The following is a 14,209-nucleotide window of genomic DNA, read 5'->3' as shown; positions in this document are numbered from 1 at the left end:
CCCACATTTAAATATGTAATTCCTTTCATGTAGTTTAATGTTCTATGAGTCATACTTTTGGAATCTCTGCTGGCAGGATTATATTATTATGAGGTTCCAAGACATTTTGGAATCAAATAGTTGTTCTGCCCTAGTTGCATGTACCAGGCTTAAAGTTTACCTTATTCTGTCATTTTAATTAATCCAATATGACCTAGAGAAGAGGGATCCTAAGTCACAGGAGACAAATGAGCTACAAAGAGCCTAAGAATTTAAGTTAACTTTGAAATGACATTGACAGGAATAGCTAAAATTATTATCATTGAAGAAAGGGCAATTTTATTAACTCTATACATTACATTCCGACACTTTCATTTAAAATGCAATTCTCACATACTATTTATATAATATACACACAAATATATGTATACACACACCCATGTATGCAAATGCATATTAAATTGTGTATTTGACTGTATGCCTACCACCAGGCACTGCCTTGGTATTTCCTATTTTAAGAGTCTCTTATATATGAGAAGAGTAATTTTAAAAAGATCTAATGAAATGATTCATAGCATTCTAATTGTAATTCAACTTATTTATTCACTTTACTCATAGTTTTGATGTTACATTATTTTATTACATTATTTACATTATTTTGTTACACTCATTCTAATTTGCTTTAAAATATTGGAAACACATCTATTTTGGTAAAGCCGCTTACTATAGATTTTCTCTTTTCGGTATGGTTTTCTCATCTATAAAATGGGGGTAATGATATTTCCTTCATATGGATGTTTTGAGCCTTAAGTACATGGTTTGGCAAAGTGCCTTACAATAGCGACTAGAATGTAGAAAGGCCCCCAATGCATACCGGTTACTTTTTTCGTAAGGGGCACTCTCACTTAAAAGAATCCTTAATCAGTGAGTGTATATTTTCAAACCCTCTGTTAATTCTTTTGGAGACTTATAGTCATGATTGAGATTGTCTTTATTTAGTAAAATTTCTATTTTGAAAAATAGGTGAATACTGGATTGATCCTAACCAAGGATCTGTTGAAGATGCAATCAAAGTTTACTGCAACATGGAAACAGGAGAAACATGTATTTCAGCAAACCCATCCAGTGTACCACGTAAAACCTGGTGGGCCAGTAAATCTCCTGACAATAAACCTGTTTGGTATGGTCTTGATATGAACAGAGGGTCTCAGGTAATTTAATATGTTTACTTAAAATTGTATTCTTTACTTTTTACTACTTATTACATATTTTTGATTTATTTAGGACTTTGCTATTTTTTTAAACCAGGCTTATTTTACCATGTTTATTTTGAAGTGATATAGTCTCATTAGTTACAATTGTAATACCATTGCATAAACAAGGTTTTGCTATGAGTGAAGTTAACATAAATTTTGAATTAAAAATTTTCTCATGGATGAAATATAGAAAAGTAATTATTTTTACTGTAAGTTCCTCTAATGTATGTGACATGGACTATGGAGTGTACCAGAAGTGATAAACTATAGTGCCATAGTTGATAAACAGTTATTTCTGTATATTCAGCTTCAGCAGACCTGGTTACCTCACGGGGATCTTGTACTGACTTTGGGGCCTTATAAAGTCTCTGAACTTTTTGGAGACTCAGTTTTGCCAGTTTAAAGTAAGGGTGATAATATTTATTCCATAGTTTCCATGTGGATATAAAATTCTTAGTTTAGGGTCTCTTGTACTATGGGATAGATGGTAAATTAATATTAGATAACTACTATAATAATGTCTAAATAATTGAATCATTTTGTAAAATTTTTAATATTATTTAAACTTAAGGCATTTTTGTAATGTTATGAAGTCAATTGATATTTTTCTGAGTCCCAGTCTACCCTGTTTCTATCATGGTCTGGTGTTCAGACAACTGTCTGGCCTTTCCACTGCCTGTTGCAATGTGAATATTTCATTCTGCATCTCTTTATGGCAGCCTAATTGAAATTTTCTTCTCACTTCTGCTTCTGACCTTTTCCTAGAAATCACGTTCAGAATAAACATTATGAGAACATTATGGGTGTATACAAGATAAGCTAGTATCTGTCATTATTTAATGAGCACAAAATTTTAAATTTTAAATATAAATAGTTGAAATATAATTTAGCTAATATAATATGTAAAATAAAACCCCCAAATGGGAGTGCTGAAACCAAAGCTAAAGTAGAAGGTGAGTAGGAAAGAGTCTCTAGAAAAATTTTTTTGATTATTTTTGTTAGCACATGGAAAACTTTTAATATGTATTTCCTACAATTGTGTAATAGTTGGGGTCAAAAGATTTTATACTACTAGTTAATTCTAATTTTTATTATAATTAGCAATAAAAATGAGTTATTTTTGATACATGAGTGAAGCAGATTTAAAAATACTTATGCTTGTTCTCGTGAATTATTGTTATTATTGGTTTCATTACCCTTTGGGTTAATAAGGACAGAGGTTCTTTTGAGTATTCATAGACATTTTAAGATATGTTTAGATGTACAGCTAGAATAGCTTACTTTATGACAAGAATTAAAGTAATACTCTTCAAAATTGATTTATCTGAAATCAATTTATATATTTATCTATACATGTGTAAGGCATTATGAAACCCTTCAGTCTTGTGTATGACAAAGACTCTTTGTTTTTCTAGTTCGCTTATGGAGACCACCAATCACCTAATACAGCCATTACTCAGATGACTTTTTTGCGCCTTTTATCAAAAGAAGCCTCCCAGAACATCACTTACATCTGTAAAAACAGTGTAGGATACATGGACGATCAAGCTAAGAACCTCAAAAAAGCTGTGGTTCTCAAAGGGGCAAATGACTTAGATATCAAAGCAGAGGGAAATATTAGATTCCGGTATATCGTTCTTCAAGACACTTGCTCTGTAAGTACTTTTTGATCTACATTGATCTGGTTGAGGAAAAAAAATTATTTTTGTTAAAAATACTATTACAGCACTAGAACTGGGGGCAATTTTACCTTGTATATGAGCATAATAGCAGTTTGTTTATAGTCATTCCTTAGGGTAAATGTGTGTGTGTTAGCACATGAAGCATGATAGAGGTTTGAATCCATATAGTAAAGAAAGAACTGGATCCCTAAGATCTGATCCAGTTCTTCTGCAGACTTTCTTTGGTTCTTTTCCAAGTTATTTAACTTACTGAATCTCAGTCCCATGCTTAAAATTCCTTATTTCTAAAATGCGTAATTAATCCAAGATACTTTATTTTTTCCACCAATTTGTAAGTAAGTCTCCCCGCTTGCATATTGAGATATAAAACGAAAATAATACTAAATGGTGAATTATAGTTTCATTTGTGAAAAACAAAAAAGCTTTCATAATTTATGTTGCTAGTGACCATTTGGGAAGCTGCAGAAGAACAAAGGAAATTTACTTAAAGCATGAAAGAAATTCTGTTACATAAGTACACTAATATTTCACTTTATGTTTTCATTCCTTTTTTTTAAGTAGTACTCTAAAAATCATTGCCTTTACATTATAAAAGTGTCTGGGAAGGTTGCTGTCTAACATACTTGGAAAAAATTGTATGTACATTTAACCCATTGCATCATTTAATTTCAGAAGCGGAATGGAAATGTGGGCAAGACTGTCTTTGAATATAGAACACAGAATGTGGCACGCTTGCCCATCATAGATCTTGCTCCTGTGGATGTTGGCGGCACAGACCAGGAATTCGGCGTTGAAATTGGGCCAGTTTGTTTTGTGTAAAGTAAGCCAAGACACATCGACAATGAGCACCACCATCAATGACCACCGCCATTCACAAGAACTTTGACTGTTTGAAGTTGATCCTGAGACTCTTGAAGTAATGGCTGATCCTGCATCAGCATTGTATATATGGTCTTAAGTGCCTGGCCTCCTTATCCTTCAGAATATTTATTTTACTTACAATCCTCAAGTTTTAATTGATTTTAAATATTTTTCAATACAACAGTTTAGGTTTAAGATGACCAATGACAATGACCACCTTTGCAGAAAGTAAACTGATTGAATAAATAAATCTCCGTTTTCTTCAATTTATTTCAGTGTAATGAAAAAGTTGCTTAGTATTTATGAGGAAATTCTTCTTCCTGGCAGGTAGCTTAAAGAGTGGGGTATATAGAGCCACAACACATGTTTATTTTGCTTGGCTGCAGTTGAAAAATAGAAATTAGTGCCCTTTTGTGACCTCTCATTCCAAGATTGTCAATTAAAAATGAGTTTAAAATGTTTAACTTGTGATCGAGACCTACATGCATGTCTTGATATTGTGTAACTATAATAGAGACTCTTTAAGGAGAATCTTAAAAAAAAAAAAACGTTTCTCACTGTCTTAAATAGAATTTTTAAATAGTATATATTCAGTGGCATTTTGGAGAACAAAGTGAATTTACTTCGACTTCTTAAATTTTTGTAAAAGACTATAAGTTTAGACATCTTTCTCATTCAAATTTAAAGATATCTTTCTCCTCTTGATCAATCTATCAATATTGATAGAAGTCACACTAGTATATACCATTTAATACATTTACACTTTCTTATTTAAGAAGATATTGAATGCAAAATAATTGACATATAGAACTTTACAAACATATGTCCAAGGACTCTAAATTGAGACTCTTCCACATGTACAATCTCATCATCCTGAAGCCTATAATGAAGAAAAAGATCTAGAAACTGAGTTGTGGAGCTGACTCTAATCAAATGTGATGATTGGAATTAGACCATTTGGCCTTTGAACTTTCATAGGAAAAATGACCCAACATTTCTTAGCATGAGCTACCTCATCTCTAGAAGCTGGGATGGACTTACTATTCTTGTTTATATTTTAGATACTGAAAGGTGCTATGCTTCTGTTATTATTCCAAGACTGGAGATAGGCAGGGCTAAAAAGGTATTATTATTTTTCCTTTAATGATGGTGCTAAAATTCTTCCTATAAAATTCCTTAAAAATAAAGATGGTTTAATCACTACCATTGTGAAAACATAACTGTTAGACTTCCCGTTTCTGAAAGAAAGAGCATCGTTCCAATGCTTGTTCACTGTTCCTCTGTCATACTGTATCTGGAATGCTTTGTAATACTTGCATGCTTCTTAGACCAGAACATGTAGGTCCCCTTGTGTCTCAATACTTTTTTTTTCTTAATTGCATTTGTTGGCTCTATTTTAATTTTTTTCTTTTAAAATAAACAGCTGGGACCATCCCAAAAGACAAGCCATGCATACAACTTTGGTCATGTATCTCTGCAAAGCATCAAATTAAATGCACGCTTTTGTCATGTCAGTGGTTTTTGTTTTGTGAAATTCCTTTGACCATATTAGATCTATTTCATTTCCAATAGTGAAAAGGAGATGTGGTGGTATACTTTGTTTGCCATTTGTTTAAAAGATACAACGGATACCTTCTATCATGTATGTACTGGCTTATAAATGAAAATCTATCTACAACATTACCCACAAAGGCAACATGACACCAATTATCACTGCCTCTGCCCTTAAAAATGTCAGAGTAGTATTATTGATAAAAAGGGCAAGCAATAGATTTTTCATGACTGAATAAACTGTAATAATAAAACATATGTCTCAAAGTGTATCACATATGAATTTAGCCTAATTGTTTTCAGTTTCATTCTCAATATTTAGTTTACAACATCATTTTCCCCTAAACTGGTTATATTTTGACCTGTATATCTTAAATTTGAGTATTTATATGCCTAAATACATGTGTGAGTTTTGTTTGACTTCCAAGTCCAAACTATAAGATTATATAAGTTCATATAGATGAATCAGAAATATGTGGTAATACTATTAAGTCACAAACACTAACAATTTCCAACTATAGAAATAACAGTTCTTATTTGGATTTTGGGAATGCTACCAATAAAAGCCTGCCCAGACCATTCCAAAGCTCTCAAATTTCTTGCCTATATATTAGACCTGTCAGTGGATTTCTTTACTTTCATGTCCCATAGACACCTCAAATTCTACACTATAAAAAGTGAAATAATCTACATTTGGGGAGGATGGTGGCATACATTTATTGTTGATTTATTTAAAAAATACAAATGAAAATTCTCAAAATTAACAGAAATTTAAAAAAAGACAGCAGCGTCATTATCCATCCATTTAGGCAGGCCAGAAACCCGAGAGTCATTTTTGTCACCTCTCTCTCTCTCTCTCAGACCATGCCAGAGTACTGTCCTTCTTAAATATTTCTAATTCTGCCCCCTAAATATTCCCTAAGGTCATATCCTTCTCTTGATCTCCACTGCCGTTATCCTTGTCCACATGAATATTATGTCTCGCCTGAGCTTTTTCAATAGCCTCTGACAGGTTTTCAGGCATGCACTCTTTCCCTCTTCTGATCCATTCTTCTCACTACAGCCAGAGAAATCAATTTGAAATAAAAATCTGAATATGTCACCTCCCACTCCCCCCCGCCACCCTAGCTAACACAACACACACGCACTCATCTTATTATAAAAAGCTTCAGTGGTAACTTCTAGGATAAAGACAAAAATCTTCAAACTATGAGGTACTGGCATGACCTGACTCCTGCCTTCTTCCCAGGCTTCCTTACACCACTATCTCCGTTACTCTGTGCTCCACTCACATGGGATTTTGTCCATTTTCTAAAAGCTTCTAGATTCCCTGTCCTGCTGAAAACCATTTGTATGTGTATTCTCTTTGCCCAGTTTACTTGTATTTACCTTTCAGAACTCTTCTCAATGCCTCATCCTCACAAAATCTTTACTAGGCTCCTCACTCCTCACCACAACTCAGGTAAGATAGTCCCTGTTAAATTTTCTTGGCACGCTGTATTTCTTCTTATAAATATTTATATTTATAGCACAAATTAGAATGTTTTATAAAGGGTGTGATTATTTGGTAGGTGTCAGTCTTTTCTATTAATTGTATTTGTTACAAAGGCATGGATTGTTTACACAGGATCTAAAAATTTTCTTAGTATTTGTGCATGCTCAACATACATTCATTGAATGATGAAAAATTGTATACTATGTGTAACTGGAAAAATACATTCAGAGAGTAATCATACTTGATTTCTGTACTAGTGTGAAGCATACATCATTATTACCATTATATTATGTTACTGTTTCTATTAGTACTACTGGACAGAAACACAATTGAAGAAGGGATTATTATCCAGTAACAATAGCAACATACAACGTATACCTAAACGTGACAAGAAATTTACAGAACGTGATTGAAAAAATCCATAACACTTGACTGAGACATGTAAATTAAAATTAGGGCTAAACCTACCTTAACATAGGGAAGCTCAATATTTGAAAAATGTAATTTTTTTCCTAAATTAATAAATACTCCCACTGAAAATCCCTATAAGATCATAAAAACAGAAAACTTGACAAAACTATTCTAAAGCTCATTGGAATAAAAAATTTGCTAGAAAAGTGATTAGAAAATCCCCTCCAAAACAGAAGTGGTGAATAAAGGTGGGCCCTGGCCCAAGTAAATATTTAAAAATAATAAAAAGCTACCAGTCATAGGGAACAAAAAATATTTAGAAATGAATCTATGTACCTGTATTATAATTAATATAGAAAAAAATTCCCATTTTTCCAGTAAATGCTATTAAAGTAAATTTATAACTATTTATCATTTGAAAGCATGTTTCTTTCTTTAATTCTTATACCAAAACAGTTCCCAAATGAACTAATTTAATTTTTATTTTTATTTTTTTTTTTATTTTTTTTTTATTATACTTTAAGTTTTAGGGTACATGTGCACATTGTGCAGGTTAGTTACATATGTATACATGTGCCATGCTGGTGCACTGCACCCACTAACTCGTCATCTAGCATTAGGTATATCTCCCAATGCTATCCCTCCCCCCTCCCCCCACCCCACCACAGTCCCCAGAGTGTGATATTCCCCTTCCTGTGTCCATGTGATCTCATTGTTCAATTCCCACCTATGAGTGAGAATATGTGGTGTTTGGTTTTTTGTTCTTGCGATAGTTTACTGAGAATGATGATTTCCAATTTCATCCATGTCCCTACAAAGGACATGAACTCATCATTTTTTATGGCTGCATAGTATTCCATGGTGTATATGTGCCACATTTTCTTAATCCAGTCTATCATTGTTGGACATTTGGGTTGGTTCCAAGTCTTTGCTATTGTGAATAATGCTGCAATAAACATACGTGTGCATGTGTCTTTATAGCAGCATGATTTATAGTCATTTGGGTATATACCCAGTAATGGGATGGCTGGGTCAAATGGTATTTCTAGTTCTAGATCCCTGAGGAATCGCCACACTGACTTCCACAATGGTTGAACTAGTTTATAGTCCCACCAACAGTGTTAAAGTGTTCCTATTTCTCCACATCCTCTCCAGCACCTGTTGTTTCCTGACTTTTTAATGATTGCCATTCTAACTGGTGTGAGATGGTATCTCATAGTGGTTTTGATTTGCATTTCTCTGATGGCAGTGATGATGAGCATTTTTTCATGTGTTTTTTGGCTGCATAAATGTCTTCTTTTGAGAAGTGTCTGTTCATGTCCTTCGCCCACTTTTTGATGGGGTTGTTTGTTTTTTTCTTGTAAATTTGTTGGAGTTCATTGTAGATTCTGGATATTAGCCCTTTGTCAGATGAGTAGGTTGCGAAAATTTTCTCCCATTTTGTAGGTTGCCTGTTCACTCTGATGGTAGTTTCTTTTGCTGTGCAGAAGCTCTTTAGTTTAATTAGATCCCATTTGTCAATTTTGTCTTTTGTTGCCATTGCTTTTGGTGTTTTGGACATGAAGTCCTTGCCCATGCCTATGTCCTGAATGGTAATGCCTAGGTTTTCTTCTAGGGTTTTTATGGTTTTAGGTCTAACGTTTAAATCTTTAATCCATCTTGAATTGATTTTTGTATAAGGTGTAAGGAAGGGATCCAGTTTCAGCTTTCTACATATGGCTAGCCAGTTTTCCCAGCACCATTTATTAAATAGGGAATCCTTTCCCCATTGCTTGCTTTTCTCAGGTTTGTCAAAGATCAGACAGTTGTAGGTATGCGGCGTTATTTCTGAGGGCTCTGTTCTGTTCCATTGATCTATATCTCTGTTTTGGTACCAGTACCATGCTGTTTTGGTTACTGTAGCCTTGTAGTATAGTTTGAAGTCAGGTAGTGTGATGCCTCCAGCTTTGTTCTTTTGGCTTAGGATTGACTTGGCGATGCGGGCTCTTTTTTGGTTCCATATGAACTTTAAAGTAGTTTTTTCCAATTCTGTGAAGAAAGTCATTGGTAGCTTGATGGGGATGGCATTGAATCTGTAAATTACCTTGGGCAGTATGGCCATTTTCACGATATTGATTCTTCCTACCCATGAGCATGGAATGTTCTTCCATTTGTTTGTATCCTCTTTTATTTCCTTGAGCAGTGGTTTGTAGTTCTCCTTGAAGAGGTCCTTCACATCCCTTGTAAGTTGGATTCCTAGGTATTTTATTCTCTTTGAAGCAATTGTGAATGGGAGTTCACTCATGATTTGGCTCTCTGTTTGTCTGTTGATGGTGTATAAGAATGCTTGTGATTTTTGTACATTGATTTTGTATCCTGAGACTTTGCTGAAGTTGCTTATCAGCTTAAGGAGATTTTGGGCTGAGACAATGGGGTTTTCTAGATATACAATCATGTCATCTGCAAACAGGGACAATTTGACTTCCTCTTTTCCTAATTGAATACCCCTTATTTCCTTCTCCTGCCTAATTGCCCTGGCCAGAACTTCCAACACTATGTTGAATAGGTGTGGTGAGAGAGGGCATCCCTGTCTTGTGCCAGTTTTCAAAGGGAATGCTTCCAGTTTTTGCCCATTCAGTATGATATTGGCTGTGGGTTTGTCATAGATAGCTCTTATTATTTTGAAATACGTCCCATCAATACCTAATTTATGGAGAGTTTTTAGCATGAAGGGTTGTTGAGTTTTGTCAAAGGTTTTTTCTGCATCTATTGAGATAATCATGTGGTTTTTGTCTTTGGCTCTGTTTATATGCTGGACTACATTTATTGATTTGTGTATATTGAACCAGCCTTGCATCCCAGGGATGAAGCCCACTTGATCATGGTGGATAAGCTTTTTGATGTGCTGCTGGATTCGTTTTGCCAGTATTTTATTGAGGATTTTTGCATCAATGTTCATCAAGGATATTGGTCTAAAATTCTCTTTTTTTGTTGTGTCTCTGCCCGGCTTTGGTATCAGAATGATGCTGGCCTCATAAAATGAGTTAGGGAGGATTCCCTCTTTTTCTATTGATTGGAATAGTTTCAGAAGGAATGGTACCAGTTCCTCCTTGTACCTCTGGTAGAATTCGGCTGTGAATCCATCTGGTCCTGGACTCTTTTTGGTTGGTAAGCTATTGATTATTGCCACAATTTCAGCTCCTGTTATTGGTCTATTAAGAGATTCAACTTCTTCCTGGTTTAGTCTTGGGAGAGTGTATGTGTCGAGGAATTTATCCATTTCTTCTAGATTTTCTAGTTTATTTGCATAGAGGTGTTTGTAGTATTCTCTGATGGTAGTTTGTATTTCTGTGGGATCGGTGGTGATATCCCCTTTATCATTTTTTATTGTGTCTATTTGATTCTTCTCTCTTTTTTTCTTTATTAGTCTTGCTAGCGGTCTATCAATTTTGTTGATCCTTTCAAAAAACCAGCTCCTGGACTCATTAATTTTTTGAAGGGTTTTTTGTGTCTCTATTTCCTTGAGTTCTGCTCTGATTTTAGTTATTTCTTGCCTTCTGCTAGCTTTTGAACGTGTTTGCTCTTGCTTTTCTAGTTCTTTTAATTGTGATGTTAGGGTGTCAATTTTGGATCTTTCCTGCTTTCTCTTGTGGGCATTTAGTGGTATAAATTTCCCTCTACACACTGCTTTGAATGCGTCCCAGAGATTCTGGTATGTTGTGTCTTTGTTCTCGTTGGTTTCAAAGAACATCTTTATTTCTGCCTTCATTTCGTTATGCACCCAGTAGTCATTCAGGAGCAGGTTGTTCAGTTTTTAAAACCTCTAAATATGTTTGCATAAAAATTATTGAGTAGTTGAATAATCCTGGAATGGAAATGAAAAAAATATATAAATAATAAAATGATGAAAGATCAGATTCTATAATACATCTTAAATCTGTATTATAACCAGGCACAATGCTAATCACTTGTTGTCCCAGCTGTTCAGTAGTCTGAGGTGGGAGGATCACTTGAGTCCAGGAGTTCAAGGCTAGCCCTGGCAAGACAGTGAGATCCTACCATAAAAAAAAAGAAAACTATATTATAAAACTGTCAGTAGTATGCTTCAAAGCATGTTCAAATTGGGAAAATTTATGTAATATATATTACAGAAATGGTTTAATACAGTTTCTGTAAAAACCTCCAAAATATGCATAGTCCTATACAGGTAATTTACAAAAGCCACAATATAAAAACTGATAAATGTGGAAGATATTTAATATCATTAGAAATAAAAATGCAACAGAAACAATAAGATATTGAATTCTATCAGAATTGGACAAACATTAAAATACCTGATACTATTAAGTGTCAAAGAAGATGCAGAAAAACAGTCACATACACTTTTTCCCCCTGTTTTTTCCCCTGGAAAGTGGAAAGAATAGTTAAAGTCATTTTCTCTAATTGGTTTATTCACAGTTCCCATAAATGTGAGAAGGTAGTAGGCCCAAAAGTGAGCCAGAGGTTGAGGATAGAGTAGTACACACTAGGATGTCCTCTGGGCTGTTGATTTTACCTGATGACAAGTAACTTAAAACATTATTTGTAAAACAAAAAACAACAAAAGACAAAACAGCTCCAGAAATGTAAATATAATAAATATAAGAGAATAGAACTTAAAAATTAACATGACAAAAACAATTTCACAATGGTGCCAGATTATTTACACTACAGACTAAGAATCTATTGTGGGTACATGCTTTTCATGTGGATTTCATGTCAGATACTGGTATTTTTGCTTTGGAATGTAAAATTATTACCCAGCACATGGTACAGGAAATCACTCCATGCTTTATATGCTGTTTATACTATTTAGTGGGTAAAACAGACCAACATACCAACTAAGCTGAATAAATACATGGTGATAACTAATGTTAATTAGGTTTGTACATGGGAAGCATGGGACCTAGCCAAATTCAAGCTAGGCTGGAATTTGGAGAGGAGAGGAAGCAAGGAAGAGTAGCTGGAATACACTCTTTCTTAATGAGTCTTGAGGGTTAAAGAAAGACAGTGTCTTGAGGGTTAAAGACAGCGTCTTGAGCAGTGAGGGAAGGTAAGACACAAAGAACAACATAGATCAAGGCATGGAGTTCCTAAAAGTCATGGTCTTGCCTGGGGAGCCCCTAGTGGGCAGTTTCTGTAATAGATTGCACACAAGGGGTTAGTGGGAGATGAAGTTAGAGAAGCAGGTTGAGGTTTCATAAAGGGACTTGTGTGTAGAAATAAAGAGATTGAAAATTATTTTGAAGGTGTTTTAAGGAAAGTATCTGTGGTTCTTAGCTGGGTGTGTAACCATACCCTCTAGAGTACCCTTGGAAATGTGTGAGGGGGGTGTTAGTGGTTGTAATAAAGATTGGGGAATATTTTAGGCATTTTGTAGATGAGCCCAGGATGTTGAAATTCTTGTATGTAGGCCAATCCCTTAGAACAAAATCTGAACCACCCAAAATACCAATAGAAGTTTCACTGCAAAATATTGAAGTGTTTTGGCAAGTAAGACACGTTGTGATTTGCATGTTAGAAAGATCACCTTGGCAGCAATACTGAAGGAAGAATTTTTAATGTGAGTAAGACTGAAAAGAGAAAGATTAGTCGAACAATGTATAAAAAAAGCAGGAAAGAGCAGTTCATGTCACTGCACATGGAGAGAGATGATTTGAGAGATATTTAAGAAAAAGCATCAACGCAATCTGATGAAAGAGTGAGGATGAGGAACCAAGATTTTAAGATTATTTCCAAATTTCTGGCTTAGGTAGCTGGAAGGAAGGTGCTGGCATGTACTGAGATGGGGACTAGCAAAGGGGGCAGCCTTGAGGACATGTGTTCTATGTCCATGGGGCATCTAGCTTGAGATAGACAGGGTTATACATAAGGATAGATGAGCCATCACATCCAGTAATTGTTTGAGATTTCAGTGTGAGTGCAATCATTCACAAAAGTGGAGACTAGTGAGCCCGGAACAGACGACTGGAGAATGCTGATGTTCAAGAGGAAAAGAGTGAAGGAGGAATATATATTATAGGAATATTACTTTTTAGTCATAGAATTCTAAACCTCGGATGTTAGAGGTAACTGTGAAGTCAGAAAAGAGAGCTTGAAGCCATGTCTAATGCTATAATGCATCTCTTATTCTCATTTTTATACTTTAATGACTAAACTCAATAAAACCAACAGAATGAAATATGAAAGAAAATGAAAATTCTATTTGAAAATTGAACTAGACAAAAGCATTAGTGAGACATAATAAGGAGCTCTAGAGATAAAACTGTAAAAATTTAGCAAAATCCTATAAAAATTTGCTCATAATTCTCTGCTGGATTTTATTTTGATGCTATCAACAAAAACCTCAAATGATATTTCGTTCATATGTGACTATCTTACAGGATAAAAAATGCCCTGAAGATTGCATTTATTTTGATTTTCTTTTTCTTTTTTTTTTAAATTTTGTATTTCCATAGGTTATTGGGGAACAGATGGTGTTTAGTTACATGAGTAACTTCTTTAGTGGTGATTGCTGAGATTTTGGTGCACCCAGCACCCGAGCAGTATACACTGCACCCAATTTGTAGTCTTTTATAGCTCACTCCCTTTCCACTCTTTCCCCCGATTCCCCAACGTCCACTGTGTCATTGCTATGCCTTTGCATCCTCATAGCTTAGCTCTCACTTATGAGTAAGAACATACAATGTGTGGTTTTCCATTCATGAGTTACTTCTCTTAGAATAATAGTCTCCAACTCATCCACATTGCTGTGAATGCCATTAATTCATTCCTTTTTATAGCTGAGTAGTATTCCATCATATATATATCTCATATATATATATATATATATATATATATATATATATATATATATCAACGAGTGAATAAAGAAACTGTGTTGATTGATGGGCATTTGGGTTGTTTCCACATTTTTGTAATTGCAAATTGTGCCACTATAAACATGCGCATGTAAG

At 34.5% G+C, this 14,209-nt stretch overlaps 1 protein-coding gene across 4 annotated transcripts in view; it reads left to right on the top strand.

Moving 5' to 3' along the window:
• The window catches only part of COL5A2 (collagen type V alpha 2 chain), a 409,214-nt gene extending 403,306 nt beyond the window's left edge, over window positions 1–5,908 (top strand). For all 4 annotated transcript variants that reach the window (XM_047443252.1, XM_011510573.4, XM_047443251.1 and 1 more), the window contains 3 exons: window positions 1,003–1,190; window positions 2,651–2,890; window positions 3,590–5,908. In XM_047443252.1, coding sequence (XP_047299208.1) covers window positions 1,003–1,190; window positions 2,651–2,890; window positions 3,590–3,736 — 575 coding nt within the window. In that variant the 3' untranslated portion in view covers window positions 3,737–5,908. The remainder of the gene's footprint in view (window positions 1–1,002; window positions 1,191–2,650; window positions 2,891–3,589) is intronic.

The sequence above is a fragment of the Homo sapiens genome, chromosome 2, assembly GCF_000001405.40.
Source record: "Homo sapiens chromosome 2, GRCh38.p14 Primary Assembly".
NCBI classification, from domain to species: domain Eukaryota; kingdom Metazoa; phylum Chordata; class Mammalia; order Primates; family Hominidae; genus Homo; species Homo sapiens.
Note: the sequence above shows the minus strand (reverse complement) of the source record. Positions and strands in the feature narration are given on the sequence as shown.